This window comes from Homo sapiens, chromosome 11 (genome assembly GCF_000001405.40).
Source record: "Homo sapiens chromosome 11, GRCh38.p14 Primary Assembly".
In the NCBI taxonomy this organism is placed as follows: Eukaryota; Metazoa; Chordata; class Mammalia; order Primates; family Hominidae; genus Homo; species Homo sapiens.
Window position 1 is genome coordinate 90,901,020 of NC_000011.10, and position 15,326 is coordinate 90,916,345.

General features: G+C 35.1%; 1 long non-coding RNA gene across 1 annotated transcript in view; it reads left to right on the plus strand.

Moving 5' to 3' along the window:
* The window catches only part of DISC1FP1 (DISC1 fusion partner 1), a 663,821-nt gene extending 649,788 nt beyond the window's left edge, over window positions 1–14,033 (plus strand). The window contains exon 7 of the long non-coding RNA NR_104190.1: window positions 13,851–14,033. This is a non-coding gene — a long non-coding RNA (DISC1 fusion partner 1). The remainder of the gene's footprint in view (window positions 1–13,850) is intronic.
* The last annotated feature ends 1,293 nt before the right edge of the window (window positions 14,034–15,326 follow it).

Genomic DNA, 15,326 nt, shown 5'->3' on the forward strand with positions numbered 1-15,326 from the left:
GATAGCACTAATCTCTGCAATCCCACCAGAAATGTGACACTATTTTGATTTAGTATTTCCTACATAGAGACAATTCTAGTGGCTTCCACTTTTTCTTTCCTACCATAATAGTACTCACTCCATAGGTTACAAAGTTAATGTGAAAATTCTGCAAGTGCTGAGTATGTCTTTTCCAATTACGCACTCTGAATCTGGGGAAATAACCACGGAATACGTTTGAGTAGTCACTGGACCCACTGTAAAATGAGCCTGAGCTACAATTCTATAAATCGTGTGAACTTCAGAAGCCCCAATTCTGATTGGTAGATCACAGTGACATTTTGAGTCAATTTAGATGGGGTAGATCGCTGTCACTATTGGCAAAAAGACTCAGCAGAGTTTAAGGGTTCAGTGTCTTCTGCTTCATCAGAATCTTCCCATATGTTCCCATTGTAATATTTGATATCCAATTTTTTCCCAAACAATGTCCTTAGTTTAGAGCATACATGCTGTGAGGTTGGGAATTCAATTTGCCTTGTAATTCAACCATTCATAGGATGAGATTCTGAGCTTGTTTTTCAAAAGTCTCAGCTCTACGTCTAATGGAAATTAGAGTTTCTTTCATGGAGGACAGAGAAATTTTCAAGTTGTGTATGTGGAGCTTGAGCTGACAATTTGAATACCTGAGTTCATCCTTTCCCCCACCCTTACTTTCTTGGAAGCCATTAGGAGAAAATAACTAATCTCATTATACACATTAATTTGATAAAAGTGTTCTAATATATCAAATACAAGTTCACAAGGAACTTGCCATTTATCAGTATTTGATTAGATATATCCAACAGTGATATTTTTATATCTCTATTGCCATATCTTGTCATGACATATCAGTGGTTCCTTTATAATCGGAAAGAGTTATTTGTGTCTTTAAATCTAATCAGATTAGAGAACTGATTTCAGGAACCTCAGAACCAACCCAGAAAATTCATCGTTTTTTTTCTTCTTTCTTGAGATGGAGTCTTGCCCAGGCTGGAGTGCAGTGGTGCAATCTTGGCTCACTGCAACCTAAGGCCTCCTAGTTTCAAGCGATTCTTGTGCCTCAGCCTCCCATGTAGCTAGGATTACAGGCATGCACCACCACAACCAACTAATTTTTGTATTTTCAGTAGAGATTGGATTTCACCATGTTGGCCAGGCTAGTCTCGAACTCCTGACCACAAGTGATCTGCTGGCCTCGGTCTCCCAAAGTGCTGGAATTACAGGCATGAGCCACTGCACCCGGTAGAAACTTCATCTTTTTAATTATTTTTCTCTAGAATGACTCTCGGTATCAAATTATATATCACACTTCAATCCAAAATAAGAGATTGCCAGAAAATATAACAAACACATGAAAAATGTGATGTCACTATATAATGCTAAAAGAGGTTTTAATTTCAAAGACATGAGTAGATTAAAAGTAGAAGCTGTATTATACCCAAAGTTACCAAAGCAAAACAAAACTGGAATTGCTCCACAAATACCAGACAGTAGACTTTAAGAAAAATAAGTAACTAATGACAAGTAATGGCATTTAATAGAAATGAATGAGTAAATCTCCCAAAAAGATATAACAATTAAAAACATATATTCACCTAACAACTGAGCCCCAAAATATAAGAAAACTTGGCAGAATTAAAGTCAGAAATAGGTAATTAAACACTGATAATTTGGATATCACATTTTCAATATGTAAAGAGCACAGCAGCAGATCAACAAGGAAATAAAAGACATGAACAATGTTATAAACCACATAGACCATGTTAAGCCAAAAAAAAAAAAACTCAGTAAATTTAAAATGTTTAAAATTATACTTAGTATGTTCCCTAAACCCAATAAAATTATTTAGATATCAAAAAAAAGGCAATTTTGTTTGAAATGAACAGATATATAGAAATTCAACAAAAACACTTGTAAATAAACAATGGCTGAAAGGAGAAATCAAAAGGGAATTCGAAAACTCTTTGAGATGAATAAAAACAAAAACACAATATACCAAAACTCATGAATTAAAAGTAGACAAATTCTATTTTTAGGGTAAAATTAATACCTATAGATGGCTATGTTAAAAATATTTTGAATCAATATCTTAAACCTCCACTTGAAGAACTGGAAAGAAAAGAGTGAATTAAACCAAAGCAAGTGGAAGAAACAGAAAAATAAATACTAGAGTGGAAATGTTTACAGTACTGAATGGAAGACAATGAAGAAATTCAACAAAACCAAAACTTGGTTCACTGGAAAAATAAATGCAATTGATAACACTTTAGCTCTACTGACTAAATACAAGAGAGAGACGATTCAAATCACTAAAGTCCTGACTGATATCACTACTGATTTTACAGAAATAAAGTTAATACTGATCCTTCACAACCACTTCCAAAAAATTCCAGGTGGCAAATATTATCTTGATATCAAATGCAAATATATTATAAGAAAAGAAAACCACAGATCAATATCTTTCATAAGTGCAGAAATCCCCAAGAAAATACTAGCAAACCAAATACAGTAACATATAAAAGGGATTGTATCCCTTGACCAAGAAGGAATTATACCTGGAAGAGAAGGTTGATTTCATAACAACAAAAAGTAATCATTTCAATGCATCATATTAATAGAATGAAAGACAGGAAGTATGTGTTCTTCTAAATTAACAGAAAAAGCATTTGACAAAATCCAACATCCTTTTATTGTAAAAACTCTCACCAAATTGGAAGTATCTGCAGGCTTCCTTAAGCTAATAAGGGGCTTCTACAAAAAGACAGACAGTTGCCTTCAACTAAGTAAAAGATTGAATGCTTTCCTTCTTAAGAATATACTTAAACTGAAAGTTCTAGCAAGGGTAAATGGGAATAAAAGAGCAATAGAAGTTATGTAGTTTGGAAAGAGGAAATAAAATTATACCTATACTCACAAGACATTGATCTTTTATATAGAAAATTATGATGTGTGTGTGCACACACATGCACACACACACACCCCTATTACACTAACAAAGATAGCAGCAAAGTTGCATGATACAACATTAATACACATTTAATTTTATTTCTATGCATTAGCAATGAAGAATCTAAAAATAAAATTTAAAAAACAGTCCTATCTATAATAGCATTGAAAACAGAAAAAATACTTTTGAAAAATTTTAAAAAAGAAGCACAAGTCATATACACTGAAAACTACAAAATGTTGAAATAAATGAAAAAACCTAAGTAGTGGATAGATATTTATGTTTATTGATCAGAATATTAAATATCATTAAGGGGACAATATTCCCCAAATTGATCTACAGATTCAACATAATATAAATCTAGGACTTTTCCACAGAAATTTAAAAGCTGATTCTAAAATTCACATAGAAATAAAAGGTATCCAAAATATGTAAACCGATCTTGAAGAAGACAAAATAGGAGAAGTACTCAAACTTTCTGATTTTTAAAACTTAACACAAAACTACAGTCATCAACACAGCATAAGGATAGACTGATAGGTCAATGGAATACAATAGAAGGTTTAGAAATAAACCACTACATTTATAGTTAATTCATTTTTTTCAATGGTGCCTAGAAAAGTCAATGGGGTAAAGAATAGTCTTTTCAATAAATGATATAGGGAGAAGTGTGTATCCCTGTGCAAAACAAGGAATTTGGACCCACTAATTTACCATACACAAAAATTGACTCAAAATAGGTCAAAGACCAAAATATCAGAGCTAAAACTATAAAACCGTTACAAGAAATTATGGGCAATGGGTTCCTAGATACAACACTGAAACACAAGGAACAAAGTAATAAAAAAAAAAAAACAGACTTCAGTACTTTGGGAGGTGGAGGCTGGTGGATCATGAAGTCAGGAGTTCGATGCCAACCTGGCCAAGATGGTGAAACCCTGTCTCTACTAAAAATACAAAAATTAGCAAGGCGTGGTGGTGGGTGCCTGTAATCCCAGCTACTCAGAAGGCTGAGGCAGGAGAATTGCTTGAACCCAGGAGGTGAAGGTTGCAGTGAGCTGAGATCTCACCACTGCACTCTAGCCTGGGTGACAGAGCAAGACTCCGTCTCAAAAACAAAAAACAAAAAATAACACCAAAAAAAAAGAAGTCACACACAGAAAAACCCCAGACTTCATTAAAATTAAAAAAAATTGTGCTTCAAAGGGTACCATCAAGAAAGCAAAAAGCAACCCATAGAAAAAGAGAAAATACCTGTGAATCATGTATCTGATAAGGGCCTCCCTAGGATTCAGAATTAAATAAATTATTACAGCTCAATAATAAAAAGTATTAACCCAAATTTTAAATGGGTACAACATTTGAACAGTCATTTCTTAAAAGAATAGGTGCAAAGATCAGTATGCACAAAAAAGGGGTCAACAATATTAATCGTTAGGGAAATGGAAGAGGAAATGCAAATGAAAAGCACAAGATCCCACATCCTGTCTACTACAATGCCTAAAATCGGAAGGAAAGACAATAGCATTTGTCGGCAAAGATGTGGAGAAATTGAATCCCTTAGACCTTACTGATAGGGGTGTAAAATCCCACTTTGGAAAACAGTTTGGCAATTCCTCTAAGTTTTAAGCATAGATTTACAATTGTACCCAATAATTCCACTGCTAGGAATCAAGAGAAATGAAAACATACTTTCACACAATCGCTTGTATGACCTTGTTATTGATGCGTATTTTTTTCTGAGGTATGAAACAGTGGTCTGCAAACTACTGCCCCTTTGGTCTCAATTCAACAAGCTTCCTATATTTGTGAACAAAATTTATTGGAACATAGCCATGCCTGTTAATATATATGTTGTCTCTAGCTTTTTTCTTATTCTTTTTCTTCCACAGTGACAGTGTTGAGCAATTGTGAGAAAGACTAGATTGTCATCAAAGCCTACAAATTTACTATATGACCTTTTATAGTAAATTATTGCTGACCCTAGCCTAGAGTCCGGGGTATATCTTCCTTACAGAGATGACTGATTTGAAATGATCAGCTCTATTATTTATTATTTGATAAAATGTTATGATAAAACGTGTTAAGGACTCATCCTATCTTGGGACTTCATGATTATTTTCTAAAGCTGTCCTAAATTATTACCAAAACAGTTCTCCTACTGCACTTATTAATTCCATTTTTAATTATCTTATTTACTCATTAAATATATATTGAATGGCGAGTATTTGTCTGTGACTTCTATATGAGATTTTATACAATCAAATCTGGTGTTATTTATATGATAGGGAGTTTGCATTCTAATGGAAGAAATAGTGGAGTAAAAGGGTGTGGTATGTGTCATGGTAGATATACACATAAGGAGGGCATGGAACAGCAGGGGAATAACATATAGATCAGCTGCTGAACAAGGGCAAGGAGTAAAAGAAATCTCCTGGAAATATTAATGAATGAACTGAAACTTTAAAATAAGAAAAAGAACCCTAAAACTTTTCTGTCAGATTGCAAATGAGACTGAATTGAAGGGAGGAGAATAATTGTGATGGGAACAAAAATTTGGAGACTACAACCAAAATTCAAGTTATAAGACATTAACTGAGGTAATGGGAATGGGAGTGCTGCGTAAAGTGAACTATAAAGGGAGAAAGTGGATAAGACCTGGTGATGATTGCTAGTTAGAGATGGGGGAAAAAAAGAGATATTTATGGTAACTCAGGTTCTGGTTCTGACAATCTACTAAGTAAATGGTGACTTTATTCACATAGACTGGAAATGCAGGGATAAAAACAGACTTGCAGAAAAGAGCTCATTTTCTCACCCTCATTCCAGGAACCAAAAAATAAAAAATAAAAAACCAAAAAACTGACTATGCTGCTAAGTGAAAATGAACATTTATACTTTGATTTATTCATTTGTTTAAGACAAACAATATGCTAAACACTACTAGATTTTGGACCAAATATATAGAATGGAAGCAAGAACACTATTCTGGCAAAAAGAAACCAAGCAACTAATTATAACAGATTGTGATAAATCTTTCATTGTTATGTAAAAAAATTGCTGTTCTTATTGGTAAACATCTAGAGTTCAGATCTTCTTCCTCCTACACAGAATTATTTTTTGCTAAGTCTTTGCAAAATCTTTGATTTCTAGCCAGAACAACAACAAAAAAATAAAAACAGTTTCTCTTCCCTTGAAAAGTGGAGAATTGAAAGCCTCTACTGGTAAGAAGAACAATAGTTACTCTTTTAACATAGAATTTCTCACAGATGCCAAGGTCACACCAAACTATGCCTGAAAACCAAGAGCTCATCAGAAAAAAAAAAAAATGTTAAATCTACGATGCTTGCAGGCAAGAGTCAAGTATGCTCATTTTTAAACTGCCAGACTCAGGAAAGACTGCTGAATGCTTTGTTTTCAAAATTTAGGAAACAATTTATGAATATAAAATAGATTGTTTTCTTGCTTGTAATAACTGTTATTGTTGAAACTGTTAGTGTTGAAGGTGTTGAAGATGTTGTACTTATAAATAATCTCTTACTATTATAATTATTTTACATCTATAGAAAGCTTTAAATAACAACTTCAAATGGGCAATGGGGTATGAAGTTTAATGAAGATAAAACATGAAATATTGGTAACAGCAATACAACGAACAGTTTATATACAGGGGATAGAGGACTGTTAGAAGGAAACAGATGTTATCAAACTTTTATTTCCTATATTTTACTTATGGAGTATTTAAAAGTCCTCTGTGAATCAAAATTGGTATGATCTCTGACACTAGTGGATCTCAGAGATACCTAGAATACTCTCAAAGAATACCAAGGTTTAACACTTGCTTTTCATGTAAACAATACAATACCCTTATCATGAATTTGTTTGCTAGACAGAATGGTTTCTAAAATATTTTTATATTAATACTATTGTAAAATAGGAAAGTGGCTGCAGTAGCTGGCTGAACATGAAAATTGTGGATCAATGCCTACTCTGGAAGCTATTTATAGAATGCATATCAAAGCTTCATCTTGGGATGCAAAGAAATTAGTAGACCTAAGGTTAGCCCAAGACAATGTGAAATAGTCTATCCCAGCTAATGTGGACATCCTCAGAGGCACTGGATATCCAGTTAGTAACCTTGAGTCAGAGTTAAAGAGAACGGTCGTTGGCTCCATAGAGGCCATTTATGTTCTTTCCAACTTGTTAAAGACTAATAAATGATCAAACCACAATTTGCTGCAGGGACTACCCTTAAAAACTGTATCAAAGACTTAGGTACCCTCTAGAGGGTGCCATTTTTCCATGGCTAAGTAGAATTTACGATAGTGTCATAAATCTTAATATTAAATGAAAAATCTGCTAAAGAAATATTAAACACAGAGCAGACTTGGAAATGGCTATTTGCACTTTAGAGGGACCCTATTCTTAATCAAATCACTGGATATAATGATGAGAACTGAAGTTCCTGTGGACTTGAAGGGAATATTCCTAAGAATTATGGGGTGAGTTGGTAAAATGAGAAAATGTTTTTCCATAACACTAACTTCATATCATGTGATGATAGGCCAATTTATAACTACCTATGAGGCTGGGTGCTGTGGCTTACCCCTGTAATCCCAGCACTATGGAAGGCTGAGGCGGGCAGATCACCTGAGGTCAGGAGTTTGAGACCAGCCTGGCCAACATGGCGAAACCCTGTCTCTACTAAAAATACAAAAATTAGCCGGGCATGGTGGCATGTGCCTGTAATCCCAGCTACCTGGGAGGCTGAGGCAGGGGAATCACTGGAGCTGGGGAAGTGGAGGCTGTAGCAAGCCAAAATCGCGCCACTGCACTCCAGCCTGGGCAACAGAGTGAGCTCCATCTCAAACAAAACAAAACAAAACAAAACAAACAAAAAACTACCTATGTAGTCAGCTCAGACCAGTTTAGCTCCCAAAATTTTAGGTAGTGAGACCTGGAGAAGCAGAACATACTTTTTTTTTTTTTTAATTGCATAACTGTGTTTTTTTAAAGAAACTTACTTAATGATAGAATAATTGTCCTGGGTATCAAAGTCCTTTTCTTTCCCTGGCAAGAAACAGTAGAAGGGGAAGTGGTCAACTGGAGAAATGTGGATCCCATCACCTTTTGCAGGGGAATGGAAAATTTAAGCCTTCTTATTTTTGGAACATGACTACAGAGCTGATGATATCAGTAAAGCTTTTTAATTTTCTTGGAGCTATGGAAACATGTTTTTCTTACTCAAAACAGTCTTCTATTGTCTAAACGACCCAAGTCAAGAATAGTAGAGAGTATAAATTAGGTGAGAGTCTTCACATTGTCATTGAAATATAAATAATGCTAATAATGTTAATAATAACAATGATGGTCATTTTGTGGCATTTCTCCATGCCTCTACTTTTGATAGTTGTTGTGTTATTAACAATAAATGCTACTATATTATGCTTTATATATATGTGATAACATTATAGAGTTCAGCCTATGTATTACACATGCTATTCTGTATATGTGAAATAAAACATTAAGTAAGGCACAATAGTGCATGCCTATAGTCCCAGCCACTCAATAGGCTGAAGTGGGAGGACGAGTTAAGCCGAGGAGTTCAAGGCTATAGTGCACTAGGATGATGCCTGTAAATAGCCACTGCTCTCCATCCTAGAAAATAGAGTGAGACAATGTGTTTTAAAGAAACTGATAAATACAATAAAATACATAAAATAAAAAATAAGTAAAACAATATTATTGATGTAATTATCATTCATTCCATATAAAAAATTAAGCAGCTACTATATACATTTCATGGTATATTAGTCCATTTTGCATTGCTATAAAGGAATACCTGAGGCTGGATAATTTACAAAGAAAATAGGTTTATTTGGCTCACAGTTTTGCAGCTTGTGCAAGCATGGCACTAGCATCTGCTCAGCTTCTCATGAGGCCTCAGAAAGCTTTTACTCATGGCAGAATGTGAAGGGGGAGGCAGGCGTGTCAAGTGGCAAGAGAGAAAGTAAGAGAGGGGAGGAGGTGCCAGCCTCCATTAAACAAACAGCTCTCATGTGAACTAATACCACCAGAACTTGCTGATTACTATGGGGCGGGGAGGGGACACTAACTTATTCATAAGAAATCTTCCCCAATGTTCCAAACACTTCCCACTAGACCCTACTTCTAACATTGCAGATCACATTTCAATGTGAGATTTGAAGGGGACAAACATCCAAACTATATCACATGTTCATCTGGCATTGAGTTAAGGTAATAATTTAAAAGCTTGAAATTAGCAAGACCTGTATGCAAAAGTTTAAATCAGCTTTACTCATAATTGTCCACACGTGGAAATAAACCAAGTGTCAATCAAGTGCTACACGGAAACAGTGCTGTAGTATAACGATCCAATGACAAGCTATTTATTAATAAAAAATGAGTAACTAGGCCCACGCGGTGGCTCATACCTGTTTTCCCAGCACTTTGGGAGGCTGAGGCGGGCGGATCACGAGGTCAGGAGATGGAGACCATCCTGGCTAACATGGTGAAACCCTGTCTCTACTAAAAATACAAAAAATTAGCCAGAAGTGGTGGCGGGTGCCTGTAGTCCCAGTTACTCGGGAGGCTGAGGCAGGAGAATGGCGTGAACCCGGGAGGCAGAGCTTACAGTGAGCCGAGATCGTGCCACTGCACTCCAGGCTGGGCAACAGGGCAAGACTCCATCTCAAAAAAAAAAAAAAAAAAAAAAAAAAAAGTAACTAGTGGTACATGAAACAGCAAGAATAATGTCAAAAGTATTATGCTAAGTGAAGAACACCAGATATAGAAGACTATATAGTGTATGATTCCATGTATTTGACATTCTGGAAAATGTAAAACAATAGAGACAAAAATTATATCAATGGTTTCTAAGTGTGAGGGGTTGGAGGAGGAGATTAACTACAAAAGGGCATAAGGGAAATTTTAGGGGTGGTTACCGAACTACATACATTTGTCAAAATTTATAAAACTGTACATCTAAAAATGAGTAGATTTTATTATCTGTAAATTTTATGTCAATAAACCTGAATTTACAAAAAGTTTGCTTCTAGAAGTTGGAGTGCAAAACTGTTTTACTTCAAATATTCCACAAGCATATTGAAACCTCATGAATGTGCCTGGCAATGGTGTTGATGATAATGATTCGGCTAAATATGACAATTAACATCCTTCAACACACTTTGGGATAAAAAGGGGATCTTACTGGAAAGTAGACCACAGTTTATTTTCTTCTACTTGACTACGTTGTCTTATAATTTCAGAGCAGAGTCTTTGATTACCTACAATTCAGTAGTGATACAGGCTTGAGCATATACCTTTGCACAGTTTCACATAATTTTTTTTTTTACCTTGGGACATTGTAGAAGAATGGGGGCAGATCATTCTTTTCACATTGACTCTGAACTGATGCCACTGACTCATTTCCTCACTTTTGTTTTTGCTTCTAGTAATGTCTACCTCCGACAGGTGCAAAATAAGACATTGAAAATAAAAAAGACATAATCAGTCATGAAGAAAAACAGATAAAGTGATCATTCTGTAATGATGGGCTTGACAAAAACACCTCCAATGTTTTTAACATTCTACTTGGTGATTTAAATGTTCTTCTGGAAGTTGTATGGGAGTATCCTTTTCCTTTTTTTTTTTTTTTTTTTGAGGTGGAGTCTCGCTCTGTCGCCCAGGCTGGAGTGCAGTGGCGCCATCTTGGCTCACTGCAAGCTCCGCCACTGGGGTTCACACCATTCTCCTGCCTCAGCCTCCCAAGTAGCTGGGACTACAAGCGTCCGCCACCAGGCCCGGCTAATTTTTTGTATTTTTAGTAGAGACGGGGTTTCCCCATGTTAGCCAGGATGGTCTCCATCTCCTCACCTCGTGATCCACCTGCCTCAGCCTCCCAAAGTGCTGGGATTACAGGTGTGAGCCACCGTGCACGGCCATATGGGAGTATTCTTTCTTCAAATAGTTTGCCATCCTGATGACTCAAATTATGAGGAGCTGGCATATTTTAAAAATTAGTAGTTATGTTTACAACATAAATATTATTTATAAACATCTAAGCCTGGCTTAAACTTAGTTTCATAGCTAAGTGTCTGTAGGTATCATTTTATTTATAGTACTTTTTTTTTTCATTTAGAAGCCTTACTGTTTTATTCATAACATTCCACTAGATAATATTTATATGCATTTTGGACTTCTACCAGTTAAATCCTATAATACTACTACTGTTTATGACAAGGTGAAGTGATTACATTTAAATATTTTTATCCATGTTGCCCTGACTATAAACTTGATGCTATTGTTTATCAAACTGAAATAACATAAATTTAAAGTTAAGAGAAAGGGAATAAAGTCTTATAAAATAGAACAAGGGAGTAGATGGTTTCTGAAGAAAGTTATATCATCAGTAGAAAGCACTTCTATTTTAAGAAGGAGGTGGGGCAGTTAACTCCATAGGCTAAGAAAAACAGTCCTTTTCTACCCTAAGAACCAAAATTGTCTAATGTAGGTATTATTAAACCATATTTTAATATGCAAAACACAAGACCAAAAGGAGTCTAGAAATGTCAAAAATGTCAAAATGTGCAGGTTTTTCATTTAAGAAAAGTGCCTTCTACATCATGTCATGCACAGCTTTCAGGTGTTTTCAGTTAATTAACTTAATAGAAAAAATCTTGAGTACACCCAGAAGATAGATATACATCTAAATGCACAAGCACATACCTGCGCACTTTTCGCAAATATGAACAGAGTACCTGCTACAAGCACGACGTTCCATTAGCCTGGATCTTGTTCCTAATCAAACAAGGTAAAAGTCTTTCATAGCATAATAGCTTTAAAATAGGATTCCTGGTGCCCACAGAGATCCCTTGAATAAGGTCCCAAAGATGGAGCCAGGAAATTTGAACATTTACTCAATCTCACTGGTCTTTCACCAATTTATAAAAACAAACATACGGACACAGACAATAGCAGTTAATGAGCTGATGGTCAGTAAAGAACTTAGTTTTCAAAGTAAATTCTAGTTTTGAAATTTTTTACATATATATAGTGAAACTGATAAAGAAGAATGCTCTAAGCAAGTGCTTCAGGCTATTTTCTTCCTAGTGTTCATTAACTGCCCAGTGACATGATTTACCTGGTCACTTTCCCTTCGCTGTTAGTTCCTTTTATGTAGCCACAACATATTCAGTCTTTCAAGCCTTTGCTTTTATGACTTATACATCTGCCTATTTGATATTATGTCTAGTCCAGACCACCAACTTTTTCATAAAAGCCATAAAAAACCTTAGTAAATTGACTTAAGGTAGATAAAAGTCAGTGATCTGGAGATAAATAAGGTTATTCCTTTATACAAAATAAAAGTTGTGAGCCTTCAGCCTTTTTCTCTTTATTTAGGTGGACATGCTGACATATACCAGCTGAAAACTTTTAAAGCTCTTTCCTTTAATCTTATGCTCTGAGAATGATCTGCAAATTCCAATACTAAGTTTATGTTGGCCTTGTAAATGTCAAAGTATTTCTTAGAGATACAATCATTCTGGCAGAGAATTTCCACATATAATTCCTTGGAAGAAAGTTAAGATATTTATCTGAACGTATTTAAAATTACCTTTTTTGGGATTTTGTTTAACTCATGAACAGAATTTCATCAGAAGGCTTATTTTTCTTTTTTAATGATGTAAGAAAGATTTTTTTAAAAGGCAAAAAAAAAATCAAATGGGCTCTAAACTCTCATTTTAACACATGTATAACCAATTACTAAAATAATTATATTATGTGTTTTTTATAACAAACAAAAACAACTAAACAATTTATCTCATTTCAGCATTGTATCAGTCGAAATAGGCTGTATGATGCTGACATTATAGAAAATCTAACAAATAACATAATATTTCAGTGGTTTCAAAATAGCAGACATTTATTTCTCATACACAGTAGACATTCAATTGAGGTTTGCAAGCAGGCTCTGCTTTCATAGTCATCCACAGACCTAGAGTGATTGGGGCCATAACTTGATGGGTAGCACAAACTTGGGAACGTTGCAAAGTTTGCAATGGCTCTTAAAACTTCTAGCAGCATATTACACACATCTATTCAGCTCATATTTCATTGGTCAAAACACATCATATGGTCATACCTAACATTAAAGGAAACAGTGGTGGGCAATCCTGCACATGCTTTAAAAAAGTTAGCAGGAAATATGTGACAAACATCATAAGCAACCATTACAAGCCTATACCTCTCCAGAATTGGAAGGATGACACCGCACATTTACTGGCTCTAATCATGGTACAGAGACCTGGTGAGTGAGACAACAACCTAGGGAAGTGCTGAATCACCAACAGAGAAGCACATACTCCAAGACATTTGTGAAAGAGAAGGTAGTCAGAGGGTTGAATCTATGTGAAAATTCAATAGATTAAGTATAGGAGGCCAAATGAAGAAAGCTTCAAAACAGAGAATGGAAGACAGCACTTGAGGCATTTTCTCTGTTAATTCATGGTTAAATGTAGAGAAATTTTAGTTCATCCTGGATTTCAAGAATAAGCATGCATAGTCAGAGGGATTAGACACTGAGTAGGTTATACTTAACACATTTTTCTTAGATTAGATATCATATACTAAGATGCTATCTAAGTCAACACTGTATAAGGGGCTGTTAATTATTATTAAATGCATGATATATTAACATTTGCATTTAAAACAATAATTTAATTTAAAGTAGCATAGCAGGTACTTCAAAATTAGGGTTGGCTATTTCCAAACTTATTATTTAACAGTCAAAGTGATGCTGCTTGATTATTGACAGTAATATTCAGATGAATATTAAATTTCCTTCTGTGGTTTTCCCACTTAGGACAAAGTAAATGAATGATTGAAGACCTGCAAACTGTGTTTGTAACGACTTTCTAAGATTGATAGCCTCCGTGTTTCAATGCTCATGGAGCAGATGGATATGACTGACACTGCCCTTAATACTACAGCATGATCCAAAGCATCACCAAAGTCTTCAAAGAGAAAGTAAAAAAAAAAAAATGCCTCTCCATTTTCACTTCTACTTCAAATCCTGCAATTTGACATAAAAAGACAATATATCTGTCTCCTTCACTAGACTAAGGGCGTCTTAAGGTAGGGCTCATGGCTTTTTTCTATGTTCTCCATACCTAGCATACACTATACACATCCATTTTTTTAAAAAATAAAATATTAATAATTTGGCCTTTGTGGAAAGGATAGTTTTTCTAAGACTTCTGTGACTTGTTTAGCAATGTCTTTCTATTGATTTCTTCACTTGCTTCACTTGCATGTATGTGACATTGTGTCACTTTGGGGCAGAAGTTTTAAAAGCCAGTATGGAGTTCATCATATCTCTTTTATGGCTGCAATAATAAATGGCAATATTCAAGATAGAAACTCTACCAACCTGGGATCCCGAGTGAAGACAGTATGGAGCAGGGCCTTGGCTGACTCACAATGGGCATGGGTGAGAAGCATTCTTTGCTGCTCCAAGCAGCTGAGATATTAGGATTGTTGGTTGCCTCAGTGTAACCTAGCGTATTTTGACTGATATATTATGGAATATTTGGAACAAAGCATAGGACTTCAAAGAACAATAAAATGCTATTAAGAAACACAATAGTTGAAACAAAATTCATAAATTAAAGCCTGTGGCTTTGTGTGTATAAGTAATTTCTCAAACCCAAACTTAGTTTCTGCATGTAAAACCTGAAGCTAAGTTGAGTAACTTGACCAGTTGCACAAAGTGACTTCAAAATCACTTCATGCTCTTTCCACTCTCCTCTATGCCATGCAGTTTTTATTCCTGTTTCACAGAAAGGAAAGCTGAGTTTGTGGAAGATAGTTACTAAGAAGGAGCTCAATTGGCTTCATCCCTAGTGTTATTTCCACTACTAAAATTATCCTCACTGTCAAGGAGAACACTTAAAATTTATATTTTAGAGAAGTGGTGTAATACAGATGGTGATAAGCCATCCACATTACATACTTACCACTCCTTTATTCCTTCCACCTTCTGTTTATGCAGTGAATCAGAACAAGCATAGCTGAATTCCAACTTCAGCTCTACCTCTTAGAAATCATAGAGATAGAAGCCATGTATCTATAAAATGTGGATTAACAAATATATAAGGTCCCTATCATAGTGAACCAAAGCAGACAATGAATCAATGTGAATTATCTTCCACTGTAACTTCTCTATGTAAGAATCCTTACTGATAAATATGCATATGATCAAATCTGAGCAAGTCACAATTAGAAATGGGCCTTAAAAACAGTTGTTTAGAAGGCATTTTTTTCTTCCTTTGGCACCTAT